A 27,655-nucleotide genomic window follows, 5' to 3' on the forward strand; every position below is an offset into this window, starting at 1 on the left:
AGACGCGGCCTCAGCTGCCAGCGACGGGATATGCAATTTTGCTTTTTAATGAATCGTAAACAATTTGTATGGCAAATGAGTTTGTTTGTTTTAGTTTGGGGGCATATGTTGTACCAGGTTGTAGACAGTCATTACCTACTCCAGAATTTTAGGTGAGAATGAGTAGAGCTCTGGATCATTTTTATTTTTCTAAATAATAAAGACACACTAGGATGAAAGAAACTGGTTAATAAAAGACTGAGAATAACAACCTCTCTTCTCCTTCCCTCTCTCCCCTCTTTTCCTCTCTATCCCCACCCCCTCTCATAACTCACTCAGGCTTACAGTAGGGCTTTAGCTACACTTTTTGATAACTAACTGGAAATAATCGGTTGACTCGATTAATTTTTAATTTTTTTAGGTATAAATTTTAACTTTGTCTTTAAAAGACTACTTTTGTTTAAGAAACAGTTATTTTAAAATATGTAATATGGAGAAGGGCCATCTCTGTCCTCCATTACTTTTTTTGGTTGAAGCTAAGGTTGCCTTGAGGGACATGGATATAAGAATGATAAATACATGTTTTATATCAAAATGAAGCAAGAAAGGGGTCTTGATATTGAAAAGTCAAATAAAAAAGTTTATTCAAACCCACAGAGTTGTAAACAACTTAGAAGTTAACAAGCAACCAGGGTTCAAGCATGTACATTTTAACAGTAATTACCTTTGGCGCTGCCACTTATGAGAAACCTTTTGATATCTGAGCCACTTCTCTAATGCTTTAATCATGCAAATCAAGAAATAGATATTACATATCAACTTAATCTAGCTGTGTTGTGACATCGCTAGCAGAAACTCTCCCATAGAAAACTAAAGAAAACCCTCATGAAATTTTCCTCAGCTCCAAATGAAATGGAGGCACCCTAGAAGCATGTATTTGCTTCAAAATATAATTCTGTCCAGCAGAATTATCTCCATTCTACCCATATGGCATGAAATGAAGGCAGAATGAACATTCTCCTCTTCATAATGATAACAATGTGTTATGGAACTATTTTTATGTGAATTACAAAATGCACTTGTCTTGCTTCTGCCCTCCAATTTAAAAACTCATAGTGACTGTGAAATGAAGGCAACTAAATTATCCTACAGCCCCCTCACCCCATGCTAGGTCCTGAAGCACTTATTTTGGGAGCATTCTCTTTCAAAAATTTGACATACAGTTTTAAAATCAAGAACTGTCTGTCACTTACTCAAACTTGTACAACTCAAACTTTGCATACCAGGAAAACACTTGGGCAAAAAGAATATGCTGTGCCTTGTGGTACAAATGCCTACTTTTTAAAGTACACATGTAAAAAATAGCAAGATACTTCTATGAAATACTGCCTTACTATGTTCAACAATTCAAAAAAAAAAAAAACTCAACTCCAGCCTACTTCCCAAATGATTGGCAGCTTTAACCACTGCAGACACAAAATTAAGAACACATATTTCACGGAAATCTTTGTTGTTGTTAAGATGTGTTGGATTCACATATTACGTTGTATTTACCATTTCAATTTTCAAAATTCTCAGCTGAACAACTCTTCTTAATGATTGTTTGTTATAATTATTTGAAGATATTGCCTAATGGAGATTTGTCTATAAATTTGCACTTATGCTTTTATGATAAACTAGGAAATTGCTAAAATATCTATAAATAAAAAGACTCAAAATGAGGAGATTCAATAAATTATAAACCATATCATATTCTCAGCACTCAGCATATTTTTAAAGAGTCCATGGTAAACATATTTATACACTTTCTATTTAATGCATTTGCAAACTCTATTTTTAAGTATTTTCACAGATATTTTGCAGATATTTGCAGTGCAGTGGCTCTACCTGAGCTTATTTTTAAATGCACAATTTTTATCGACCATTATAAATATATGTAAGTATATTAATTTCTAAGAATATGCATTAACTTACAAGATTTCTGTACACTCCAACATTATTTTCTCACAGTATAAGCAGACTGCAAGCAAAATCTGAATGGGATAGGTTTTTTTTCCCTCTCACATATATTAAGAAGTTATCCTTATCATTTTCTTTTAGGTTAGCCTTGTACAACATCTTTTAAAGTACCATTTACTATTTTTAGGGATACATTGAACTATGTTCCTATTTTTTTTTCTTTAAATCAAATTACGATCCAAATGTACTTCATTCAGAATTGTGATTGGTTACTTAAGCAAGCCTATGTACTTCTACTATCTTTTTAAAAATCTTGATTTCCTGTTGTTATACTCATATTTCCCCTGTGAACTTTAGACAGTGAAATAAATGCTTTGTCCTTACTTATTTTCTAGTTGATTTTCCTTCACCTGTACTGAATATTGACAGGAATGTTTCTAATTTAAAACCAAAAGAGTCAGGGGCTGATTAGAAGACAGGAAATTGGAGGATTAAACTGTCTGGTTGCACTTCCTTTACTTATCAGCACTCAGTAACTCACTCTAGATTACAAACTCAACAGGACAATTTTTACAATGCATTGTTTCTTCTGGATGTTTACATATATACAGTGCATGTGAGGGTGTGCGTGTGTGTGTGTACACGCGCAACCAGGCATGCACATGTATCTGTATGTGTCTGCATGTGCATTCATGAGTAGGAACAGAAAAGAACCAGCAGCTGGTAGTTATAAGTAGACGCTTTTAAGTGGGATAGTTTTAAACCAAAGGGGCTTATACTATGGGTATGAAAGTTCATTCAAAGACTGTAATCCCAGGATACTCTCAAAACTTTCTTACCAAAACAGTTCTGTGAAACCAAGCAAACAATGAAATACTGTAAGGGAGAAAGCAAGACGCACTATTTTGAAAATGAAAAATAGATTGCAGTAGCCCTAATGCAGTCCATTTTCCTCAAATTCCAAACACCCATATTAGTGAATGAATAGAGAAGGGTACCCATAAGGAGTGAGGGTGTTAATCTAACAGGCATTCAAAACCATTTTGAGATCCCTTTGGCACCAACTGAGAAAGGAATCTTTCTAACTGTGGCAGCAGGTCTGAATGTTCCAGGTGAGCATATATGATGAAATGGGTGCTTAGCAGGGAATGAAATAGCAGATCAGGACAAGAGGGTAAGGATTCATCTTATGCCATCAGATCATTTAAAATTAAAAATAAATTACGAAAACAAAACACTGTTCTAGATTTTTACTGTGTCGTATATCTTTGCAGAGCCGTGCTCTGGAAACCATGCTGAGAATTATCATTCCTGACCTCACTCTGCTCACCTCTGTTGCCCTCAATAAGTATTTGTTGATTTGGCTTAAGAGAGTTCTAGATGAATATGTGACCATTTTTCCTGCTTCTAATTGCAATGGTGGGTTCTACTGAGAGATATAGAAGATGAAGAGGAGTGTGTGATCTGGCAAAATGAGCTGGTTGCTTAGACTGGTAGAGCTGGGAGTTAACATTTAGGGGCTTGTTCTGGTAGCCCTTTATTCCTTCACCTATTCACCAAATATGTATTAGGCCCCTACTAAGGGCCAGAGGGGGTGAAAATCAGTGGCTGCTTCTGCCAGCTGCCATCATTCAAGTTTTAAAAACACTAGGGAATCCCTCCGCACCTAATGAATAACATTGATTGATAACTATCTGTGAGAATCTGTGCTAGGGGCTTTACATTTTTTTTTATTTTTCATTTAATCTTCACCACAAACCTATGAAGTAAGCATTATTGTCCCGCTTTATATATACAAGAACCAAGACTAAGAAAACATTGCCCACTGCCCAAGGATATGCCCAGGCCGAGGATAGGCCACCCAGACTATAGAGTCCACTTGCTTAATCTTAGACCAAATTTGTCTGAAGTTAATTCATTATTTTAGCACTAGAATGTAATGTTATTCAGAACTTCACAGAAGTAGGATCATCCCTTCGTAGGATGGTATTCAAGGGGCACAAGTCTGTTTGCTAAGATAATAGAGGCAGAAAAAATGTATATTGTGTCAAAAGCAAGAATAGGACACAAGTCTTGTGGTGCCTGGTCCCTGTTCCAGAAGCATTGTCCATGTTTCTGTTCTGAAGCAGAAAAGCTAGTCTCATCACCAACAAAAGAAATTCATTAGACAGATGAGAGAGTCTGATGCAAAGAATGCACCTAGGCATATTAAAATGCACCTTTTCATCAGAAGGTGCATGCACGGGTCAGGGAAACCCAGTGTGTCTAAGTTCTTGCCAAATATTGAGAACTTTTTTTTCTGTTAGTAATTTAATCTTTATTTAGCAAATATTTCACTTACAGTTTTAAATGGAGCATTCCATTAAAGAAAAAAAAAAAAAGAGGCCATCCTTCCAAAGAAAAGTTCCAGGTTTTGGCTCTCTGTCTCCCTTTTTTATAATAAGCAGAAATGCCAACATATAACAGTATTGGTGTTGAATACTTTTTGTTGCCACAGAATTGCTAATTAAAGGTTTGTCCCAATGTAGAGTTTTCTGTAGGAGAAGACACAACCCAGGATATATATTGCCTAATGGCAAAGATCTTAATACACGCATTACAAGTAAACATCTATTTTCCAGACAACTGCTGACTATAAACAGTGTGTCTCAGCCAGAGCTTTTTAATAGTGCCACATGTGGGACAGATTTCTTATTCCTCCTAACCCAAGTTCCTTTTGTGATCCTTGATGTGCACATGCTATTGCCCTGCTGACTATTTTAAATGGATGATAATTGGGAATAATGACCGGGTCAGAGGTAGGGATGCGTAAACCCTGGCAGAGCAGCCTTCCACCAAGTCAAAGCACATGGGGCCCTCAGAGCCGGGAGCCGGCACTTGTAAGCTGAATTGAGCACACAATGTATGTGGCTGGCCACATACGTTGCCAAATAAATATCACATTACACATCCCATCTCCCCCACGTGACCTTGGTGTAGACAAAGTCTAAACTCATCTAGGAGATGAGAACATTTTTGTTCCGAGAATGATCCCATCTGCCTCCCCCAACTCCCAAATATCCTTCAACCCCTCTCCTTCACAGATGTGTGCTTTTCAGTCCTGCGGAGGAAATGCCTTAGCGGCTGGGTTTGATAAGCCCTCTTCAAATGTTGAAAAGACAAACAGTGTCGGCTAAATAATTGATTTCATCTATTCATTTAAGAATCAATTACAGTCATCCCACCTTATCCAAGGAGGATACATTCCAAGACCCCTCGCGGATGCCTGAAATCACAGATAGTACAGAATCCTATGTATACTATTTTTTTCTACACATACATACCTATGATAAAGTTTAATTTAGAAATTGGGGCTAGTAAGGGATTAACAATAACTAATAATAGAACAATTATAACACTATACTATAAAAAAAGGGTATGTGAACATGCTCGCTTGCTCACTCAGAATATCTTATTGGACTGGACTCACCTATTTGCAGACTGAGGTTGACCTCAGGTAACTGAAGCTGCAGAAAGTGAAACCACATTTGACGGTGGACTCCTGTAAAATTATCACATATTGTTTCGTTGTGTCTCACTTTAAGAAAAATGGCGGCCGGGCGCGATGGCTCACGCCTGTAATCCCAGCACTTGGGGAGGCCGAGGCGGGCGGATCACGAGGTCAGGAGTTACACACCAGCCTGAGAAACATGGTGAAACCCCGTCTCTACTAAAAACACAAAAATTAGCCCAGCGTGGTGGCGGGCGCCTGTAATCCCAGCTACTCGGAAGGCTGAGGCAGGAGAATCGCTTGAAACTAGAAGGCGGAGGTTGCAGTGAGCTGAGATAGTGCCACTGCACCCCAGCCTGGGAGAAAGAGCGAAACTCCATCTCAAAAAGAAAAAAAGAAAAATGGCAACTTCAGTTCTCGTTTTTGTAAGTATGCGAGAAACGCCCTGTTATCAGGTGTCATAGCCTGAACTCCGTCCTAATAAACAGTAAGGAATCTTTGCATGCTTGTAATACATTGCCCAATACTGAGGTCCAAGTCAATACAGTATTGTTGGCAGAACTGCATAAGAAAAAAAAAGATAAATAATTGACCTAGGGGGGAATAACTATAGGAGGGGTTGATATAATTTCTCAATGAAAAGTCAAGAAATAACAAAGCTAAAAATGGGGAGCACAAATGCACACGTCTTCAGACCAGGCAGGTCAGCTAAGTGGAAGAGGCAGTGGGGCTGTGATAAGTACACACAGGGGTGTGTAGGGCGGGGTGGGGTCTGTGACAAACTGGAAAGTGATTTACCACAAACAACAACAGTGAATACAACACTGTACTAACCAAACAGAATGCATCTGCTGCCTGGGGCCTAAAGCTATTGTGCATACACCATGGATCAGAAGATAGAATGAGGTTCTGGCATCAAAGTGTTTTATTCTACAAGAGGAAAGAAACTTAAACGTTACATGGGAAAGGGATTACAGCAATGTAACCCACATAAATTACTACACTACAGGTTAAACCATTCACGTCTGATCTTTTCTTCCTGGCAGACTTTTGTGGGTGGGAGAAGAGAGGCAGAGGACCATGTCAGTATCTAAAATAGGAAAAGGGGCCCTGGCGCAGGAAAGACACTTGGCAGACTAGAGATGTTGGGAGATGTTGGAGGATTCATAGGGGATGCAGAAAAAGAAGCCTGGTGATGATAGAGACCAGCAGAGCCTTACCTGCCCACTCCATTTCCCTCTACTCTGGCCCCAGATTTTTCATCCATGGATTTGGAATCCGTAGGGTCTCATGGACTATGAGTTCCAGGAAAAGATTCTTCCCTAGCACTCAGGCTGATGCTCATGCCCATTTTCTCCACCCAACAAACTGTACCCTTCCTGCCAGGCTACATACAAATGAAGGCTTCTCCCTGAAGCCTTCTCAGGTCCCTTCAGGCAAAATGAGTCACTTCCCCGCCCCCTCCCTCTGGCCTCACAGCTGCTTGCTCATAGTACTATGACAGTGATTAAATTGTGTTGGAGTTTTTCTCTTTACTATCCAACCCCACTACATTGCTTGTTGCTTAAGAATAAAGACTAGGGTCCTACACGTCATATCTCCAGTGCCTAGCCTTTGGCAAGTATCACCTCCCTACCCGCCCACACCACCCCACCCCACCCCCCAAAAACAAAACAGTGTAGTTCAGTAGGAGGTGAAGTTGGGGAAGTGAGGGCAAGAAGGGCTAGTGGGTCTTCCAGGACTCTGCTTCCCCCAGAGCAGGAGCCTCAAGACTACAAGAGGTAGACTATCCAGCAAACTGCTGCCTGCCATGTGTTGATGGAGATTTGTGATGCCTGTGTGTTGACTGCTTGCTCTGTGTAGGCACTGAGCCCAGCAAGTGCTCTACACACATGGGAGCTTTTCTCAAAACATCCCTTTGACGTCAATATCATTGTTTCCACTCCACCAATGAGGAAACTGAGTCATAGGGCTGAAGAAGCCAGTAAATAGTCTGAGAACCCCCAAAGCTAAGTTCTCCTATGCTGTGATAATGCTAATAGGTCCAGCACTGTCATGCTCTAAGGCTCAAAAAAAGACTGTGATAATTAAATGCGGGCAACATTTCACATCATTTTGTAAAGGAGAAGACTGGAGCCCTAAAGGCTAAAATTCTTCCAAAGTCGAAGTATTGACAAAATTTTGGGTCTGGAATTGAGGCCTCTAGTGAGCTTCCTGCTAAATACCCATGGTAGAGAATCATAGTGTATGCTATTATTTAACTAAAACCAAGCAAGCATTTTCTCCTTCTCTTCAGTTATAGGTTAACATGAGATTTTCATTTTTTTTTTCTTTTGGCTTTTCTGTATCTTTTAATTTTTCTTCAATGAACATGTATTTTTTACTTATAAAATAACATTTAACAAAATCATACTCACTAAAGATATTAGTCCGTTTCTCACTGATCTCGTAAGAATGGCAGTAGCAGATGTCATAAGACTGGTCTTTGAGGATGTACATATATTCAAAGTAGAATGGTGCCCATTTTTTTCATTAAAGTCCATACTCAATGGCTCAATTATTGTTTTTAAGACTTTATTTATTTATTTATTTATTTATTTATTTTGAGACAGGGTCTCACTCCGTCACCAGGGTGGGGCGGGAATGCAGTGGCACAATCACAGCTCACTGCAACCTCTACTTCCCGGGCTCAGGAGATCCTCCCACCTCAGCCTCTCTGAGTAGCTGGGACTACAGGTACGCACCACCACCCCCAGCTAATTTTTTGTATGTTTTGTAGACATGGAGTTTCGCCATGTTGCCCAGGCTGATCTTGAACTCCGGGGCTCCAGCAGTCCCCCTCCTTGAGCCCCCCAAAGTGCTGACACTACAAGCGTGAGTCACCACTCCTGGCCAAGACTCCTATTTCTATAGTGGGTCAGGTAGTTCTTCCTATTTCCCATTTCCCAGTGTAGCAGCTGTCAGAAGCACCAATTTCTGATTAAGCACACTGGTCAAATCCTGGCTCTGCCGTGGATGTGCTGTATATAACCATGGGATGGACAGTGACATTCTGAATCTGTTTGTGTCTTCAAATTGGAAATAAAATAATCATAGTGCATTAGGAGGATTAGATGAAACAATGCATATTGCATAGTCCAGAAATCTGGGAAGAATTCTCACACCTTCCTCTTGCTTACCCAACATCTAATCCCAAATAAATCCTGATAAATTTACCTCTTAGGTAATTCCTAAATCCATCCACTCTCCCCATCTCCTCCACTCTTCCCCCATCTAAGCTACTCTCTGTCTAGCCCACATTACCATAGTAGCTTCCTAACTGGTCTCATGGCATCCTTGCCCTCCACAATTTATTCTTTACACTTAAGGCTAAAAGATCTTTCCAGACACACGTAATCATCATTTCAATGGATTACTCTTCCTCCTAGATAAAGAGCAAAATCCTTAATGAGACCTGCGTAGTTTTGCCTTTCCAAGCCTGTCTTGAGTCATTCTTCTTCTCCCTAAACATACTCTAGCCAGTTAATCTTCTGTGAGTTCCTCAAAACCCCCAAAATCTCAAATCTTACCCATATTAATCTGCTTTCCCTAGAAACATTCCTCTCTTTGTAGTTAACACTTCTACACCATTCCCAATATGAATGTGGCCTTTTCATGAAAACTTCCCTATCCCCAGACTTTATCAAAGGACACTACTGATAAACTCTCAGAACATTCCAGATGTTCCTTTATATAAACAAATAGAGCTGTTATGCTTATAAATATGTGTGACTATTGGGTTACTTTATGTTTCTCCCAAAATAATATAAGCTCCACGAAAGACAATGTCTTACTCATACATGTTTTCTTGCATCCAGGACAGAACCTGGGTGGTAAGTAAATATTCATTGATTGAATAAGCACATAGACAGTAGAGTGGCTGCCATAGTGAACACCGAGATATTATTAACCATTGTTGTCATAATTAATATTTGCCACAAACAGAAAGGTGTTTTAATGTGGATAAAGTCCCCTTTTATGTCTTTAAAGAAAATCCATTTCTCTCTAGTAAAACAGAAATTAGAGACTAAAGAGCTGAGAGCCCCACCCCGGGTTTGGGACCTGGCTCTGTCATGTGCTAGGAATGGACTTCAGCCATGTGATTTCACGTCTATGACTGTGGAGCGTTATATGAGTTAATGCCACTGATGTGATTAGCATGGTATTTCGCACACGGTAAACATTTAATAAATGCTTTATTATTACTTTCAATATTATAAATGGTCCCAAATCTTCTTCCAGTAATCTGTATGGCCTTTAAAAAGCCCCTTAAGCTTTCTGGTTGTCAGTTTTGTCATCTTTAAAATAATAGTGTCATTTTTCCTATGGTTCATGAGGCTGTTTCAAAGATCAAATGAATCAACAGGGAGAAAAAGCCTCTCTGAAAATTAAAAAAGTGGGATCCAAATAGAAGAGGCTACTATTGCTAAGCCTAAAAACACAGGCTGCAAATAGACACATTCTACCAAAATCCTCATGGCCTTTTCTTTTTCTTTTTTTTTTTTTTTAGATAGAGTCTAGCTCTATCTCCCTGACTGGAGCGTAGTGGCGCGATCTCTGCTCACTGCAAGCTCCACCTCCCAAGTTCACACCGTTCTCCTGCCTCAGCTTCCTGAGTAGCTGGAACTACAGGCACCTGCCACCACGCCCAGCTAATTTATTGTATTTTTAGTAGAGACGGGGTTTCACCATGTTAGTCAGGATGGTCTCGATCTCCTGACCTCGTGATCTGCCCGCCTTGGCCTCCCAAAGTGCTGGGATTATAGGCATGAGCCACCGTGCCCAGCCCTCATGGCCATTTCTTTATCTTCTCTTCACCATGGGCCATATGGGGGAAAGGAGAAGTAGTTCAACACACCTAGTCAACAATGACTTCAAGTATTGATCATTGAAGGGATGTGCATGTGTTTGTAAGGGGAAGAAGAGTGAGAAATTAATAAAGAGAGTTTAGTTTAAGAGCACACACTCTGGAATGAGAATGCACATTTTGAATTCCTTCTCCACAACTCACAGGCAATGTGACCTCAGGCAAATTGCTTAATCTACTCACCTGTAAGTTGGACAAATGCTAGTACCTGCCTCATGGGTTGTTGTAAGGATTAAATTATCCGTATAAGTCACTGAGAATATTGCCTAACACATGTCATACTCTTAATAAAGATCAGCTATTAAGATTGTAATCATTTTCATCATTATCATCATTATTATTTTGGTAACTATAGTGTTTTAAGAGATTAATATTCAGGGGCCTAGAAAGTTAGCAAGCTGGGGCCGGGCATGGTGGCTCACACCTGTAATCCCAGCACTTTGGGAGGCCAAGGCGGGCGTATCACCTGAGGTCAGGAGTTCGAGACCAGCCTGACTAACATGGTGAAACCCGTCTCCACTGAAAATACAAAAAAAAATTAGCCGGGTGTAGTGGTGGGTGCCTGTAATCCCAGCTACTTGGGAGGCTGAGGCAGGACAATCACTTAAACCCCAGAGGCAGAGGTTGCAGTGAGCCGAGACCATGCCATTGCACTCCAACCTGGGCAACAGAGCAAGACACTGTCTCAAAAAAAAAAAAAAAAAAAAAGTTAGCAAGGTGGTTAAAGAATATCTAACAAACATTTTTACTCAAGATGGTATATTTGGATTTTGAAGCAAAGAAATCACTTTCCCACTGTGTTAGATTAATCGGCCCCAACAACTGAATTTGCCTAACACAAGTGCCATGTGTCTAAGACATCTTCTCTGTAACAGAAAATTTACGAAAAACATCCAACTAACAATAAATTATCCCACACTGTAGAAATTCTGCATTTATGATAAAAACTTCATCCAAGCAGATGTGGTCCCTTCTCAAGGTACAATTCTACTTCCCAAGATGATTACTCAGTGAGAGAGGCCTATAGAAAACTTCCTGTGTCACTTAAATTCATGCAGAGCTACAAGCATGCTTTTGCTACTTGGAATTGTCACAGGTTCAGCTCAACAACCTTTAGTCAACAGTTTTTTTGGAATATCCACGACCTTTTGTTCCCTCGGGAGATAGAATCAAAATGCATCTATTAATCTTGAGTTTATTTTATTTCATTATTCAAGAAAACTATGTTAGGAAACTTTAAGAATGTGTTCAATAATAATATTAAAAATAATAGTAATAGATTGCATATATTGAACACATCCATGGGCTAGGATCTCTACTGACTATTTCACTTGTCTTACATCATTTTTCTCCCACAATAGCCCTATGAAGTATTCACATTTTATAGATTAGCAGCCAAGATGTTAAGTAACCCTACCTAAGGTTGATTCAAAAATCTAGTAGGTGACAGGTATAGGACTTGAACCTTGGCCCAAAACTCATACTCTAAAATTTATAGCCTGAACCACCTGGATATACTAACTAATTTAATATGTTGTTATATTAATGTTTGTTGTTTAAAATTTACATTAGTTATTAATCATATCATTAATAGTTTTGCACATGGAGAATAATAACCACAAAGTTGTCATGGGGATCCAGGACTTAAGGTTGCAGAACTAAAGACCTGGAAAGTGTAATAATTAAGCCCCTTTAGCCCCTCTCAATGCTAAGTCAGTTAAAAGAATTGGAGACCTCTGGTTTGAACGGGCTTCTAGCTAGGAGGCCCTAATGGAACCTTTCCAACCTTGTAATACTTAAGACATGAAAGAAGACAGGACATCTTTAAAATGCTGACAACTGGTACCAAAAATGGACTCACTGACAATTCTGGTAGGAATTGTCACTAACTACATGTCTGTGATATTGAATAGAAACATACAATTAGTGGCCCATGACTGCTATGCTGCAAAAATAAAATAAAAGGCCCATGTGCTCACAGAAATAGATAGGAGATTTTTGGTGGTATCTACACTGTCTGTCTGCTAATTCAAAAACACAGATTCTAAAACACATAGAGATAGCCATTCCTGTTTTGCCACTAACATTTCTGCACTCATTCAGATAACGTAACTACCACAAAACAATTAAGTAAGGGTGGCAGGGAAGCCAGCAGTGACACGCTGCATCATCTGAAGTGTGGTCCCACTAGTAAAACCCAAAAGACAGTCAAGAAATGGAGAAAGTCCTAGTATACATGCATGCTGGGAATTATAATTGTATATATTCCATCTGCTCTGACTGTTAGGGAGTCAAGCACTGGGTTACAAAAAAATTCTTAACACAGACAAGCAGAATAGCAGAAAGGTCCTACTACACTGGAAATCAGACCAGAAGATCAATCTTATGTACAGCTATAAATCTGGGAAGAGGATTCACCAGACCCCAAATGGAGAGTGGATGGATTACCAGGAACAATCTACATACCCAAATGTAAGTAAATACTAAGTCCAGATAATTCTCTCCACATCTGAAAATGGATAAAAATTTTGTATTTTTCCACTGCAAAAATGAAAAGTGTTACATGCTGCTGAAGAAAAGCAAAGGGTGACTCAGAATGAAAATATCTGAAAATCGTTAAGTATAAAAACTGTAAGAAACAGATTTAAAATTTCTGTTCTTTAAAACAAGAGTCAAAAGCCATTAGAAGAAAATAAGAAATAAAAACTAGGGGGTAGAATTTTAAATGAGAGTGACAAACTAGCAATGCAAGAAAACTAATAATGCATTAGCAGTATTAAGACTGCTATGGAGCAGAATTAACCCTGTGAAAATTGATCAGTAATTTGAAAGTCATACTTCCAATAACTTTCCCAGACACAGACAAATTACCCAAAGCATAAAACACACATGAAAGAGAATGACACCTATCCCAGAAAGTGAAGATCCAACTCAAGAATTACAAGGGTGTTTCCAAAGAAAACCAGAACAATTGAATAGGAAACAACAATCAAAGACATAACAGAAGGAAAAAAAACTTTCTGAACTAGAAGAGGGTAAAAAAGGATGCACATGCAAAACATTAATAGACTTAGCCAAGTTTACTTTATTCCAGGCCAAAATAAATGAGCAATCCACACCTGAACTCAGCCTGCTTTCCAGAAACAGAAAAAAGAATTGCTTACAAAATGGACTAGGAAGGGGAGTAAAATTTCACTGTCTTATCTCACATAGAAGAGATTCTAAAATTATATTTAATTGTTGAATCTGATAATTAGAAAAATTAAGATCAAAAACTGACTTCTGGAAAACTAAAGTGAAGTTGAAAAGAGGATATAAACCTTCCCAATTACTAAGGAAGTTAAAAACACACAGGGCATTCCATATATCAAACTCCTAAAGCAAAATAGAAAAGAAAGAAAGAAAAAGAAAGAAAGAAAGAAAGAAAGAAAGAAAGAAAGAAAGAAAGAAAGAAAGAAAGAAAGAAAGAAAGGAAGGAAGGAAGAAAGAAAGAAAAAGAAAGAAAGAAAGGAAGAAAGAAAAAAAGAAAACCATGTAGAACAGAACAACAGAAGTTAACAAAGCAACCCATCTGACAGTAAATACAGATGGCTTAAATCCCCTTTATTAGGAAACAAAAGTTCTCAAACTGGAGTAAAAAATTAAATCCAAATATCTGCTGCGTTCAGTAGGCATATCTAAAACAAAAGTGTTCACATTAAAAATAAAAAGAATGGCAAAGAGGTATTGAAAACAATAAAATGAAAAATAGAAGTGATAATTTCTGGCAAAGCAGGCTTCAAAGCAAAAGCAATTAAATAAGAGCAAATAGATTATGTGTATATCATCTACTATTTATATTACTTATGTTGATAAATTGGAAAATGAGATAATGAAGTTACAGTAGTAATTAGTCTCTTCATGCACCAACTAACCTAATATCAAATGATATAAATTTAAAACTATTAGAAAAGCAGAGAGAAACTGACAAGACCACAACTGGTTTGCATGTAATTTTAACACAGATTTATTTAATTTTGATAGTTTTCATTAGGCAAGAAATAATGACATGGACAATTTGAGTAAATATAATTAATACTATTAAGGCTCCTAGAAAATGTTGGCCTCTATAAACAGAGAATATGGCACCTTGAAAAGTATTTTTAAAACCTTAACCAAAAATTTACTGTGTTATGCAGATGTGTGGACATACACACACACACACACACACACACACACACACCCCAATATATTCCAAAAGTGAAAATTGCACAGGCTTTCTTGTCTAGTCATATGCAATAAAGCTAGGAAGTAACAGAGAATTGTCAACATCATACTTAATGACAAAACAAGAATTATTGCCATTAAAAGCAATAACAATGTAAGGATGCCCACAATCACCCTTACTATTTTTTCTTTTTCTTTCTCATTTTTTTTTCCTTTTTTTTTTTTTTTTTTTTTTTGTCGTTGAGATGGAGTCTCACTCTGTTGCCCAGGCTGGACTGCAGAGGCACAATCTCAGTTCACAGCAACCTCTGCCACCCAGGTTCAAGCAATTCTCCTGCCTCAGCCTCCCAAGTAGCTGGGACTACAACCATGTACCACCATGCCCAGATAATTTTTGTATTTTTTGTAGAGGTGGGGTTTTGCCATATTAGCCATGCTGGTCTCAAACTCCTGACCTCAAGTGATCTGCCTGCCTTGGCCTCCCAAAGCACTGGGATTACATGCGTGAGACACAACACCCGGCCACAGTCACCATTACTATTTAATGTTGAAGAAATTCTGACCATCTCCAATGATATGAAACAGAAATACAGGTGTAATTATTAAGGAAGACTAAAGAATTATTATTTTCAGATGACCTGATTAAATACTTAGAAAATCCAAAAGCACCAGTTGAAATTAATAAGATAGAGTACTAAAATGATAGCCACAAGCTAATTATAGAAAACAATGGCAGTTAAAAAACATATGGAAAAATGACTCCACTCCCAGTAGTAACAAAAACAAAATTATAAAATACCTAGAAGTAACCCCAAGAAGAAATATGTGCAACTTAAATGAATAAACTATAAGTCATTACTAAGAAGAGTTGATTAAACATATCTCCAGTGTGGGGATATAACATACTATATCCTAAATGTTTCAAATGTAACAATTTTCCCTCAAATTGACTTATACTTCCAATGACATTCATGTCAAAATCCTGAAGTATTAGGTTTGTCTGTTTGTTGCTTTGCTGGAGCTTGCTGGAATTTACATAGCAGAAAATAAACATTTTAAGTTCAAAATTATATATAAATGTAAGAGACAACTCTTAAAATTCTCAAAAGGAGGGCACACTCTGTGCTTGGAAAGAGTTAATTCTGAATAACTTTAATATTATGTATAGACCTTTTGCCTTTCCTGAGCCAAATTGTTGCCTTAGATTTATCCTCTGGGCACTTGTCAATAGCTACAAAAATATCTCAGCCAATTAGCATTTCTAGGCAAGAGCTACTCTACTTGATTTTATTTTCTAGTTAACTGAAAGTTAACCCAAAAACAACAGCATACTTTTCTGCCTCAACAAGGAATTAAGTTTGAATCTTTATTTAATGCATAAGGATTTGCAGAGTTCAGAGTCAGGTTTCTGAGCATCAATTTGTGACTATATATAATGTTCAATTTAGAAATAGGAGGAAATTCACAGTTATTGAACACTATACTGTGTGTCAGGCACTTGCTTGATGTTGTCAAACACACTGATCTGCACCCTTTCAAGTGTTAAGTATTGTTATCTCCATTTTCCAGACAAAAGAACTGAGATTCAAAGAGTTAATAAATCTCCCCATATCATAAAACTACTCCAAGATGGTCCCAAATCCCATGGTCTTTCTTTAAAACTAAGCTAGAGACAAATCTCCTAAAAGTGGTTCTAGAACAGGGCATTATAAGCACACCTAGGAGTTGGAGATCCCCCTCCACACATGCCCATAGCCCACAGACTCTGATACGCCATCCAAGATGGGGTGGGGTGGCAAGCAGATATGCTTTGAAGTGTCTTCCCAGTTAATTTTGATACAGCAAGTAACATTTTTGAGAAAAACTGATTTCATTTTCTATACTTATGGTTGCCTATTTTCCTATTACAGTAATTAGAAAGCAAGGGAAATATACACATTTCTACTTAATTTCATTCAGAGGCCAGGGACGGGGGCTCACGCCTGTAATCTCAGCACTTTGAGAAGTTGAAGCAGGAGGATCACTTGAGCCCAGGAGTTCGAGACCAGCCTGGGCAACATAGCAAGACCTCTTTTCTCCAAACTAAAACAAAAATTAGCTGAGCATGGTGGCATGCGTCTGTAGTCTTGGCTACTTGGGAGGCTGAGGTGGGAAGATCACTTGAGTCCAGGAGTTTAAGGTTACAGTGAGCTATGATTGTGCCACCGCATTCTAGCTTGAGTGACAGAGTGAGACCCTGTCTCTAAAAAAGTAAAATAGAAAAACAAAAAAATTCGTTCAGAATAATAAAGGAATTTTGTTTATTTTGCTTTTGAATGAATTCTTTTACTACTACAGGCTGTGTGGATTAAATGAGGTCTGCCATGAGACAAATTAAAATGAAATTCACCAATATGAATTTAAGCTTACAACAATATCTATAAAAGCTCATTAAGAGATGCATAATCTCTCATCTACTCAAATTGTTGATCAAACTCCTCTCCACCCTCATTGTGCTATACCTTCTGTGCTGTACTACAGTGGTGGACTGAGTGATCCTTCATGTGTGAGTGTGTGAGTGCCTGTGACTTTGGTATTAGTGAGGGCTACAGATCTGGTTACTGCCACATCACTGTCTTTTTTGAATGCTGTCTGTTCTCTCCCTTTGCCATCATCTGCAAGAGCATAAGAATGGTGTCATACTTCTCTTGTGGATCAGGGTTCTGAGGAACTGAAGTTGCCCCAAACCTCTGCTCTTGAAAATGAGGGCAATGACTTATTTGACCTATTGCTTGCCTAGCTCTTTCCCTTTAGTCCACCATTTTGCCTTGATCACATTATTTTCTCAATGATCCCACATAGGTGGGGTAGGTAGTTACCTATGCTCTAAATAGGTGCAGAGTCTCAATTCTTTCTATAACAAGCTATCACATGGCTAAAATGCCACCTGTGGGCACAGCATGTCCTTTCCCTTATGAGTGAATCAGTTTACTAGATCAGTTCTTAGATCCCAGTGGAGTGTCAGGATAGCCTGAGCAAATGTGAATGTTTGGGTTGGTTCACCCACCCTGCACCCACCAAGGAAGGAGAGAGAAGGCCAAAAGAAAGAAGCAGAAGCAATTGGAAATCAGAGGCATAAAGGTCTAAAGACAAATATCATCCACTTCTGCTTTCAAAAACTCACTATTGATTCTACTATCTCACCTCTAAAAACTTGAAATATCACAGAATATTTGTTCTTGTCTTCAGTCCCTGGTAAATGTGCACAGATAAGCAGCTATCATTTTTCAAATCTGGAGCATACTAACTCTGGTTACTTTTATTTCACCTAATCTTCACTTGAATTTTTCCTCCTGGGCTTCCCCCTGTAACTTCGTAAGACAGCACTTATTGGATGTGCCACAGTAAGAGTTGTTTTCTGCCTTTGGAGTTAACATCAACATTAGTCACATGTCCCCAAACCAATGTGAGAGTTTTGTTACCTCCAGCAACCATCTCCAAAGAACACAGAGGAATGGCACGGTATTTTCTATAAGTCCCCCGAATCATTTCCAGAATAATTCCAGTTATTTATGAAGCATCTTTGTTTGGATGCAAATATACCATTTAAAAACCTCTATGAGTAGAGACAGTGCTGATCTTTGTTACGTTAAGCCAGATTTTCCAAAAGTATATTCTGCAGAACCCTAATTCCTAATCACCTGGAGAAAATAAAGTTTCCATGGTGAAATAGATTAGGAATGTGCTAAATCAGCTAAATGTGCTAAAGTTAAACTTATTTATTGACTGCTGAATATCAGTGTCTTTAGCATGCTATTACATTTTGTGACTCTCCAAGAACAATTTTATAATAAGCAACATTTCTCAATCTTGTGTAACTTTGGGCCAGTTACTTTATTTTTTATAAGCCTCAATTTCAGTCTCCTCATCTTCAAAATTAAGTGTTTAGACTGGATTGTTTCAGCATTACCTTCCATGTACCATCCCTAAGAGTCTATGACAACTTTTCATTAAAACAAAGGTTTCTCCTGGAGATACTACCTATCACTTTTCTCTACTATCTAACAAAAACCCTTTCTCAGCTATGTTACTGTGGACATCAGGACAGGATGAAGACTGTCTACTGGGGAAACTTCAGAAAGAAACTTCATAATCATTTCCAACCGGATGAAAAAAAGAAAGAGAGAAAGAAGGACTGCTTGGGACTATTATTAATTGTGATAACAACAGTAAAAACTGTACTCCCCTTTGTTTTTTTCCATCCTTACCAGTTTCAGCATTGATCTTTATCTGAAATTACAAACATTTCTATGACAATTTGCTTCCATCCAGAACATCTGGTATCTGGCCAGAAACTGTAAATTGATGCTACCCGCTCTAGTGTCTGACTTGAGAAAGGGGCTGGGAGGGGGATGGTAGGAGCAGAGGAACTGTGGAGACAGACGCTGCTGAGACATTTAAAATGCACTCTCCCCTAATAGGAAACAGAGCAGACTGTGATAGAGAGAAGGGAAGGAGAGAAGCAGCTCACTGCAAATGGGGGCAGGGGAGGGAGGAGGAGTGCCTTGCTACCAAAGGCCCAGCACCCGGCAGGGAGGCCTGGAAGGATGCAACAGGAGCGGGGTTGCCTGATAAGACAGCGATAGAAAACCAAGAGATAAAGGAAGTCTGGCCAGCAGCAGCTAGTCTAGAGGCAGGCAGGGAATCACCTGACGCAGACAGCAAGGGGTGACAGAAGCTGGCCAATCAGAGAGCTCAGCACAAGAGGAAGGGCAGTGAGGTGCAGGGTGGCATGGAGGGGTCTTAGAGGAATACCATTACCTTGCCAGCTTTCGATCAAGATGTACAGTTTTTCCTTATGGGGAAACCAGTAGGGCATTCAGCCCACCAAGCTAGTGGCCAGTTAGCTAAGATGTATTTAACCTTACAGGTGGACAGAGTCTCCAGAAGGATTTTGGCAGGAAAAACTACTGTTTATATCAAGATGTTACAGAAAAAGAAAGCTGAAGAAATTTCAGCCCTTGCTGTCATTACTAAACTACCTTAACCAATCAACTGAAAGTTTTTTGTATATTCAGAGTCATTCAACAAGAACTTCTGGAAAACCTGTTATGTTCAGAGCTGAGATAGAAAGGCCAAGTACTGAAGATACAATGGGAAACAAGGCATAGGCTCTGATCTGAAGGAACTTTAAGCAGTGTCCTCAGGTGTACACTAGAAAAAATTTCTGCCTTGCCTCCTTCAAAGGCTTAGTGGCAATGGTAGATGTGAAAGCAAAGCTGTAAAATATTGAAAATAATACAAATAGGAGGAGATGAATATCATTACCTATGCAGCTTTAAGTCCTAACACTTTACTTCTGAAGTGATCAGAATTCAGTTTTGTGACTTTGCTCTTCCATCTTTACAAAAGTTTTCTAGATTCCTAAACAATCATACCACTTCCCATGAAAGGAGCTATTCTGCATCTTCAAAAAATCATTAGGCATCTGATTCAGTTGGCTTTATTAGTGCCCTCATTGTACTTAGGGAGACCTTGCCTAAGAGAGATGTCCTGTAAGTCAACCTTGGATAAAAGGTATTGCTTTGTGTGGCACAGAAATCATGTTAAAAGCCAAGGGCAGTGATAAATGGGAACCAACTCGTTAGCCCAGAGATTTTATGCACAGTATCCCTAGACCCACTCAAATTCAAAAGGTGTTCAAAGCAGAGATTGGGAACTCTCAGCCCTGTGTGCCAGATGGTGGACCCTACCAACAGGCTCAGGAAACACCAAGCCCTTGGGGCTGTGCATCTGCCATCCACTTCCCCATCCCTGAGAGCTTGCCAAGAGGCCATCAGCACCCTCGCCAAACACACTCTTCCTATGATGGTGGGCACTGGGAATCCATTAGCAACAATCCCCAACCTTTTCAGCACCAGGACCCAGTTTCACAGAAGACAATATTTCCACAGACGGTGGAGGTGGGGGCAGCAGTTTCAGGATGAAACTGTTCCACCTCAGATCATCAGGCATTAGTTAGATTCTCACAAGGAGCTCGCAACCTAGATCCCTCAATGCACAGTTCACAATAGTGTTGGCAAGAGAATCTAGTGCCACCGCTGATTTGACAGGAGGTGGAGCTAAGGTGGTAATGCTCATTTGCCCACTGTTCACCTCCTGCTGTGCGGCCCAGTTCCTACCAGCCCACAGACCTGATGGATACCAATCCATGGCCCAGGGGTTGGGGACCCCTGCATTGTAGTATTGTGAGAGATTAGGTCTGTCCCAAGCTTCCCGTCAATTTCACACATCCAGCCCACTGCCCACTGACTTTGAGGATAGGTTTTTGTTTTAATTGTGTCAGATATACATAACATAAAATTTACCATTGTAACCTTTTCTGAGTGTACAATTCAGTGGCATTAAGTGCATTTAATTGTTCTGCAACAATTATCACTATCCATCGCCAAAACTGTTTCATCTAAAACTCTGCACCCATTAAACAACAACTCTGCATTCCCCTTCCCACCCCCAGCACCACCCCATGACAATCACCATTCTACTTTCTGTCTCTATGAATTTGGCTACTCTAGGTATCTTATATAAGTGGAATCACACAATATTTGTCCTTTTGTGTCTTATTTCACTTAGCATAATGTTCAAAGTTTATCTGTGTTGTAGCATATGTCAGAATTTCCTATCTGATTAAGGAGGAATAATATTCCATCGTATATATACACCACTTTTTTTAGTTCATTCATCCATTGATGGATATTTGGGTTGTTTGCCCCTTTTGGCTATTGTGCATAATGCCGCTATGAACATGCGAATGCAGAGATCTGTCCAAATCTCTGCTTTCAATTCTTTGGGGTACATACTAGAAGTACAATTGCTGTATCATATGGTAATTCTATGTTCAGCTTTTTGAAGAACCACCGTGCTGTCTTTCACAATGGCTCCATCCTTTTACATGCCATGGACACACACGGACTAAAGGAAAGGGGAGGCTGGCTCAACACCTGGAAAAGCTAGCCACTGTTTTAAAAGTTGTCACCAATAATCCATTGATGGGTCAAAGTGTTTTCAAAGAACCAAGAGCCATTTCATTTATTGATTTATTAAATAAACTTCTGTTGAGCCTATACTTGCAACTAGCACTGGCTTAGTTACTCAGAAGGCAAAGACAATTATGATACAGCCAGTTAGACTTCTAGGAGGCTTGTAAAAGTTGATTCAGATGAGATCCATCCAGAGGAGGAAAGGCAGGTCTTCATAAAGAAATTATTCTACATGTAACTTCTATTTGCCACCTCGCTCGCTTCCTATTTTAATTACACCATAGTAACTCACATAAACAACTTAGGCAATGTAAGAATTGACCTTAGGCAATATAAGAAGTGATTAAGAGTATGAACTCTGAAAGCAAACAGACCTAGAGTCCAAAAGCACCTCCTGTGTGACCATGAGAAAGTTACTTAAACCCTCTTAGCCTCAGTTTTCTCATAATTTTTAAAGGGTGTGAGCTTACAAAGTATCTAGCACAGTGCCTGGTGTGAAATAAACACTCAAAAATGTTAGCTGTTATTATTATTATTATTATTATTATTATTATTATTATTATTAGACAAATACACCTTTTTGTTCCTTTGTAGTTTTATGTTTTTTTGTTTTAAGCAGGGGAATGGAGGAAGAGGGATCTCTGATTTATGTTTTTTTCCCTCTTATGGCTATATATGATCCTCCTAAAAATAAAAAATCTAGGACTTCTCAAGCCCGCATCTCTATGTATTTCACTCTGTGCTGGATCTCATGAGGAGTATAATAGTCTTTCCCATAAACACAAATTTTTATGAACGTGGTATCAGCAAAGTGAGCTCTTCTCAAGTAGATACATGGACCTGAAAAGCAAACTGACTTTCATAATTTTTAAAAACTCTTTTTCCCAATAATCGATTGTGTCAAATTCAGAAAGCATGTCATCTACACAAGACCAGTTTTATAGCACATTGAAGCCCAACTTCAGAGGACATGAAACTGGTAGGAAGCTCATAATTCATAAGCTCCAACTTGCTGACTTCAGAGGTTGGTTTTCCCTGGGAAGCCTGCTCTCAAAACCATCCTCTGTGTGCTCACTTGGACCTCAGGTTCCTAAGCAGTTGTGCTTGGGTTAAAATTTAGTAACTGAGAACCTCAACTGAAGCTCTGTCCTGAGTAACACTGCTATGAAACATACCCCTCTTTGTTGGATTTAGAGTTTAGGCTGCTTTGGAAAGCTGTCTAAGTCAACTTCCCCAGCTGCAGCACAAAAGTTTGCATCACAGAGGGTGCTACTTGTCAGTTTCAGTTCTAAGCTGCCCACATTTTACTCTTGGTAATGAAAACATCAAATTCAGGAACTCACTTTCCTGGATTGTGACTTTCACTTGTTAGTGTTCCAAGCTCTATCCAAAAGAGAAACATGGAAGAAGGTTTGAGATCATTCTTAGAATCAAGAGTTGTATTTGGCAGTTTCAGGGATGAAGGAAAGTAAATGGAAGGGAAGCAAACTCTTTTACACACTATCATTGAATAAGGCCACCTTTAAGTGCTACCATGCATTTGTGTTGTCACTGAAATTAAAGACAGAGGGAGAGAGAGAGAGAGGGGGAGAGAAGAGAAGGAACACTCTCCCCTCCCCAAATAAAGAGTGGCAGTGCCTTGAGTTCAATCAACTAGAAGTTGGGAACACTAACTGTCTCCATTTGTAAAATGGTAATAATAATACTCACCACCTGCTTCTCAGAGCTGGTTTACGGGTTTGTGTTCATTTCTGAGAGGGGCTTGAGATCCTTGAGTGAAAGGTGTGATGCACAGTATTATAATTCCCACCACAGGGTAACATATGGAGAGGGAAAGAAAGTGTATAGATACGTATGTTTCTGTTTAAACTCTGTGTGCAATGCTGACTTTTATCTTATTTTGCCTTTAAGCTAAACTGCATGGGTCACATTTGGAGCATATGTTGTTATCATTTGCCTTTTTTAGCTCAAGAAAATTGAGTGAATAACGGGTATTGTTTCCCTGTTTACGGTGGTTAGAGTGGTTGAGCGTTTGGAAATCTCTGACGCCACACACAAAATAGTAGATTCTCTTATTATTATGCTAAGGGTGAGGGGCTTCAGTTTGTGTTTCCCCCTGTTCTATCATCCACATATATTATGGACCTATTTTTGAAATTGGCACAGTATTATGTTACAAGTGAAAAATTCTTTTCACTCTCCTTGATAGAAAGAACGGACAATGAAAGCATCACACTCTTGGATACCCATATGCCTCTCACTCACAGCCTCTTAATTGGTCTAATGTGCTTTTCACTTTTTGCTTTTTTCCTATAATGAGCTTTCACATTAGTGGTCTTATATTTTAAATCCTTGCTGAGGACGCCGGCCCCATAAGTGTGCTATGGAAGAATCTACACTTCTGCAGAAGGCTTCTTTCTCAATTTAATTTTAATTAGAAACCAGGTGGTACAAACCAAAAAGGTTGGTGGTATTCCTTGGATGTAAGATGTGAAATGGGTTTAAGTAACACTGTATTAGTCATGAGGCAGAAATGGAGTAATGTTGACATGACTTGAAAGTAGCATTGTTGAGTAAATGAATATGTGAGAAGCACTTGCTAAACTAAATGAGTTTTGCAGTTGTATGCACATTTGTGTAATCCTGTTTATTGATGCCTGAAACAATTTGCAAAATAGAAACAAATCCATGAAGAAGAAATATGTTTGGAATTATTTGTTTATATGACAATTTAAAAAAAAACACAGGAATCCAAATGCCACATTTCATGCACTAAATATACCATATGTGGAAGCTTCCCCTCAGAAAATTCAGCAGCAACCTTTGCTGTCTGATGCGGAACAATAAGAAACAACCCAATGTCTTTTACTTGCTTATTCAATCAATTTTAATGTGAGAGTTAGTTTCGTAAAAAATGTATCCAAACACAATATTAGTATACCTGTACTATTATCTTTTAGAAGCTGATGAAGAATTTTCTACTTTTTCTTTATGCATTATGAGTAAGAGTAATGACTTTAAAAGAAAAATGTATATTCGCATATTTTCCTAAAAACAAATCCATGTATTTTTTAAGGAAATATCTATAAGCTTATGATGGGCACTATTCTTAAGCACTTTACCATCATTAATTCATTTAGTGCTCATTAAAATTCCTTGATTACTTCCAATTGACAGATGAGGAGAGTGCAGCACAGAGAAGTTCCGTATTTTGTTCAGAGTCACACAGCAATAGGTAGGCGAGCCAGATTTCAAAGCCAGGGAGTCCTTGTCTCCAACATCCGTGCTTTAACCACAACACTGCTGACTTTCCACAGAGCAGAGCCTCCATGTATTTATTTGTGAATTTTTTTTTAGAGGATCTCAGGTTCCTGGTTTAATTTGTCAGCTAGACACCATCATCTTATTTTTGCAGCTCAGACGCTAGACAGTCTGCCTCCATGCCTGCTGGCTGTCCTTGGAGCTGTGGGACTCTCCCTCTCATGCCCATTTCTCTGGGCCTTTACTTTTTGAGGAAAAACACTTGTTGCTGTCTGACTCAGTTAAGAAGTACAAGTAGCCCTAGCCCTGCCAGCTGCAATCCCAGACTGGATCACTTCTCCAGATTTGAGGTTAATCAACTGCAAATTCCATTAGCTTCATACGGAGTGAAAATAAAGAACAGACGGCTTCACATGGGAGCCTGAAGTCAGGTGCGGCTCCCCCAGGCTGGCCTGCAGGTATCAGTTTTTTCTCCCGCCTCAAAGGAACGGTGCCTTTGATAGGGAGGCAGATCAAAGAAGGGCTGTTCCAGAAACGCCTCTGCTGCTGGAAAAGCTCTCAAAGTCTACCCCCACGTGCACCACAGACCTTTTTTTTTTTTTTTTTTTTTTGGAAAGATGTAGAATTTGATACTTCGGATCATTATATTCTGGCCGCTGTGGGAACGTTTCCTAGGTTCACTCTGGTATGCAGCTGTGGTAGGTATGTAATGCTGACAACTGATTCCCCTGCCCACTAGACAAGATGGTGAAGAGTTAGGTTCAAAAAGGTTGCTGTGACTTTGAGGTGGTCTTTACTTGAGCTTGAGGCTTCTTTTCACAGGTCCTGATGGAGAATGGCTTTAAAACACAAAATAAAAGCCGTTTTCCAAAGATCACTGGTGTTTTTCAAAGAAGAACAAAAGTGAACTTGCTAGAACATATTCAAATGCAAGCTGTTAGTTTCTCATTAATCTAAGTTGCCCAAACAAAAGCTTTGCTGGTGGAATAAAGGAAGTATTATATAGCAGTATTGAGAAAGTTAGTAATTTCCTTAAAAATGCACAATTCTATTAGTCTCCTTATGGGAGGGTCCCCATGATCAGGTAGAGTTCAATTTCCGTTTGACTTTTTAAATGCCATATGGCCATTATCTAAACTCTTTTCACTTTCCCTGAATCCCTACCCCTCACCATTGGCTGGATTACTGTTTTGCTTTTATAATTTTCCCTTTTTTAATTGCTTATCTCTTCCTACCCCAGATTAAGGAAAATATTGTCACAGTTAAAACGGAAGAAAAATCCAATAACTCTATTGGTGGGAACTTATAAGCTAACCAACCTTGATCACAAATGTTCCCTTTCTAATCATAGTTTGTGGTGGAATGAAAGATGCAATTGTCTGGAAGGGATGAATATGGGATCCATGCTGGCTTGGGGGTCAAAGGTCATCACATGCAAAGGTCCCTTTCTCTCTGGCACCGCTCCCTTTGTATAGCATAGTTTGGCAGCTATCTCCTTGCACTTCGGCTACCTGCCAGTGCAGCTGGTACTGTGTCTGGTGCAAACAACAAAGCGTCACTCAGCAACCAGCAGCTCTGCATGAGGCCACTTTTCTCAGATGACAAAGAAAGATGGGCTATACATTCTACCATTGCTGCCCATTAAAAGGACTCTTAAATTGCATTACTACAAGTTATTGTTAATTATGTAGTAGTCACTGGAGCTGTAGGAGCTTTCCAGGGAGAACTGTTCGGCTATATGCTGGGAGAAGAAGGAAGTAGGGGAGGGGTTAATTGTTGAGAGAAGGGGTAGCATGGAGCAAAGACTGGTGATAGGGGAAAAAACTCATTCGCCACGTACAATCCGAGTGGCATGAATAGGGTAGGGCCTTGGTTCTGATGATCACCTCTGAAGGTTGGTAATGTGACTGATGAAGAAGAAATCAATCAGCTGAAAGAATCTCTCAGATATGCAGTTTGGAAATTGTCCTGCCCTCCCTCCATTCAAAAAGCTGCATTTTTCCAGCATTTTCATTTAAGAATAATTTTAAGCAATTTATCACTTGGCTGTAATGCATTCGCTCTGGGCTGAAATCAATAAGTCCTGCAATGTGGAGATAAGGCCTGTTTGAAGGTTGGGGAAGGAGGACCAGAGGTTGCCTATTGTCAAATAGCCAGAAAATTAAAATTAAAGTGGTGTGTTTACTCCATTTGGCCATCCAGGGTAGAAATACAGCTTTATTGGTGCTGTTCGCATTTTTCAAGGGTGGATTCTTGGAGATATTTTTATTGAAAGGGTCCAGTTTCATCCACTTTTTTAGAAATCAAATCAATATATCCATATGCCCTCAAACAAGGAAGAAACCTCTGGACTATTTCTGTTGAATTCCTTTGTACTGTTTTGGGTCGGAATTTGTTTTCTCTCTCCCTGTCCCTCTCATGGCTCCTAAGGCGGTGACTGAGGTTTTCAGGTCTGGTGATTCACTGGCTTGTCCCTCAACAAAAAATAAAAACACACACAGCTTCCAAAAAGGGTTGGTCGTGGGGCTTTATCAGTCTTCTTTGGCTTAGTTTGAGGTTTTTGGCCATTGAAATGAGATGACGCTGCTCTCGAAATGTCTGGCAAGTTTTTCATGATATGTACCAAACTCTAACAGGGAGAGGATCCCGATTTGATGTAATTTCATTGCAACAACACAGCAGCACCACTTTTCACTCTTCCCCATCCCCCCATGCTTCTCCACACTACACCCCCCCCTCCGCCCCCACACCACAACCCCTCCTGCCAATCCTCTTCAGATTAAAAGGAAATCCAAGGGAAACAGGGCACAATGGGGGCAGATGAAAGTCCACAGT

General features: G+C 39.2%; 1 long non-coding RNA gene across 1 annotated transcript in view, besides 1 other annotated feature; it reads right to left on the reverse strand.

The window, feature by feature from the left end:
• Positions 2,321–2,521: a silencer, noted in NCBI's record as "peak258 fragment used in MPRA reporter construct". NCBI's record gives its function as "represses an SCP1 promoter by STARR-seq MPRAs in K562 erythroleukemia cells {active_cell/tissue: K562}" and the evidence as "EXISTENCE:reporter gene assay evidence [ECO:0000049][PMID:32103011]".
• Positions 25,586–27,655, reverse strand: part of LOC105378764 (uncharacterized) — a 30,973-nt gene continuing 28,903 nt past the window's right edge. Inside the window, exon 3 of the long non-coding RNA XR_947441.3 lies at positions 25,586–25,659. This is a non-coding gene — a long non-coding RNA (uncharacterized LOC105378764). The remainder of the gene's footprint in view (positions 25,660–27,655) is intronic.

The sequence above is a fragment of the Homo sapiens genome, chromosome 1 (genome assembly GCF_000001405.40).
Source record: "Homo sapiens chromosome 1, GRCh38.p14 Primary Assembly".
Lineage (NCBI taxonomy): Eukaryota > Metazoa > Chordata > Mammalia > Primates > Hominidae > Homo > Homo sapiens.